Here is a 2429-nt window from a genome sequence, read left to right as displayed (position 1 = left end):
CAATTAGGGATAGAGGCAATAGAAGTCATATCTGAAAAAAGTGAAAACAAGCCATTAATGTTGTTGGTCATTTAAGCTCAAAGCAGATCTCTCCTCTCTGAACTCTGTCTCCCGAGGAGATTCCGTCCATTGCAAGCCTTTTTACATTACATAGGTCTCATTATCAGTCTTCAGCCTGGACCTTTCTTCAGAGCTCCAGCCCTCATGTGTTCTCATTTCCTCTTGAGTGAATAGCAGGCACCTCAAACTTAATTCCTCTGAATTGGAACCTTTGATTTCTCTTTGGAATCTTTTGCTCCTCAGTCTCTATCTCTGGTCAATGGCATCATAGGCTCATAGACACAAGACAGAAATCTAGATAACATCCTTGAACTTTCCCTCTTCTACACCCGTTATTTGTTCAATCATCAATTCCTTTGATTCTATCTACTTAATCTTTATTGAATCTGTATATTTATTTTTCCCATTTCTACCACAGCCACCCTCACTTCAGGCTACCTTATTCTCTTGCCCAAACTCTTGCAATAGCCTCTTGATAAGTTTCCCCAATTCCACTCTTAGCTCTCTTTAATCTACTTTCCATATAGCTCCAGAATGTTATTTTACAGAAGAAAATTGGACCAGGCAACTTCCAAGCTTCAAATCATTTGACACCCAAATCATAGAATAAAATCCCCGTCCCTTAACTTGGCCTACAGGACTGCATGGGCTGGCTCTAGCTCAGTAGGTTCTAACCACATATACTTTTTGTTAGTTTTCCAACAAGCTAAGGCCAAGTTCCTTCTTGTCTTTGAATATTTTTACAAAGCTTTTTGTCTGCCTAGAATTTTCTTGCCTCTCACCTTCATATGCCTACATTCTCCTTATTTTAGGGGGTAGAGCTTAAGTTGTAATGACTTTTCCAGACTATTCTATCTATTCTATCTAAATAGATATCTACCTCAGTGTTCTCTATTTCAGAACTGTGTTATATAAATAGCACTTACACAGTTTGAATTATGGGGGTTTTTCTTGATTTACTTTGTATTATCTGTCTTCTCATTATGCTTTAAGCTCTATGAGGGACTATCCTTTCTGTTCATAAATGATGCTCAATTTCTATGACAAGCACAGGGCTTGTCATAGGAATTCAATAAGTATACAAAACATGACATTTTAAAACTTGGAAACATGTGCCTGATAAAGGACTGTTATCCAAAGTATATAGAGAACACTTAAAGCTCAACAATATGGAAATAGGCAACCTGATTAAAAATGAGCCAAAGACTTTAATGGACACCTCACCAAAAATGATAGATGGCAAATAAGCATATGAAAAGATGCTCCACATCATCTGTCATCAAGGAAAGTGCAAATTAAAACCATAAGATACCACTGTACACCTATTTGAATGGCCAAAATCCAGAACACTGACAACACCAAATGCCGATGATGATGTGGAGCAACAGGAGCTCTCACTGATTGCTGGTGGAAATGCAAAATGGTACAGCCATTTTGGAAGACTGTGGCAGTTTCTTACAAAACTAAAAATACTCTTACCAAATGACATAGCAATTATACTCCTTGAGATTTACCCAGAGGAGTTGAAAACTTACGTCCACATAAAAACCTGCACATGAGTGTTTACAGCAACTTTATTCATAATTGTCAAAACTTGAAAGCAACAAAAATGTCCTTCAGAGGTGAATGGATAAATAGAATGTGGTCTATCCAGGCCATGAAATATTATTAAGTGCTAAAAAGAAATAAGCTATCAAGCCACAATAACACATGGAAGAAATGTAACTGCATTTTCCTAAGTGAAAGAAGCTAATCTGAAAGGGCCACATACTGTATGATCCCAACTATATGACATTCAGGAAAAGGTGAAACTATGGGGACAGTAAAAAGATCGGTGGTTTCCAGGGTTTAGGGGGATGAGACGGCTGTATAGGTGAAGGACAGAGGATTTTTAGGGCAGTGGAATAGTATAATAGGATAGTATAATGGTAGATATATGTCATTATGTATTTTTTCCAAGCCTATGGAATATACAATACCAAGAGTGACCCCAATGTAAATTGTAGACTTAGTGATAATGATGGTCAATGTAGGTTCTAAATTGCAACAAATGTGCCTCTCTGGTTGGGGATGTTGATATGAAGGGGGCTATGCTGATGGAGGGGCAAGGGATAGAGGCAGTATCTCTGTACTTGCTGCTCAGTTTTTCTGTGAACTTAAAACTGCTGTTAAAAATTAAGTGAAAAACGACCAGGCGTGGTGGCTCACGCCTGTAATCCCTGCACTTTTGGAGGCCGAGGCGGGCAGATCAGGAGGTCAGGAGTTCGAGACCATCCTGGCTAACATGATGAAACCCGTCTCTACTAAAAACACACACAAAAAATTAGCCAGGCATGGCATGGTGGTGGGTGCCTGTAGTCCCAGCTACT

Source organism: Homo sapiens, chromosome 8, assembly GCF_000001405.40.
Source record: "Homo sapiens chromosome 8, GRCh38.p14 Primary Assembly".
NCBI classification, from domain to species: domain Eukaryota; kingdom Metazoa; phylum Chordata; class Mammalia; order Primates; family Hominidae; genus Homo; species Homo sapiens.
This window is presented reverse-complemented; position numbering follows the sequence as displayed.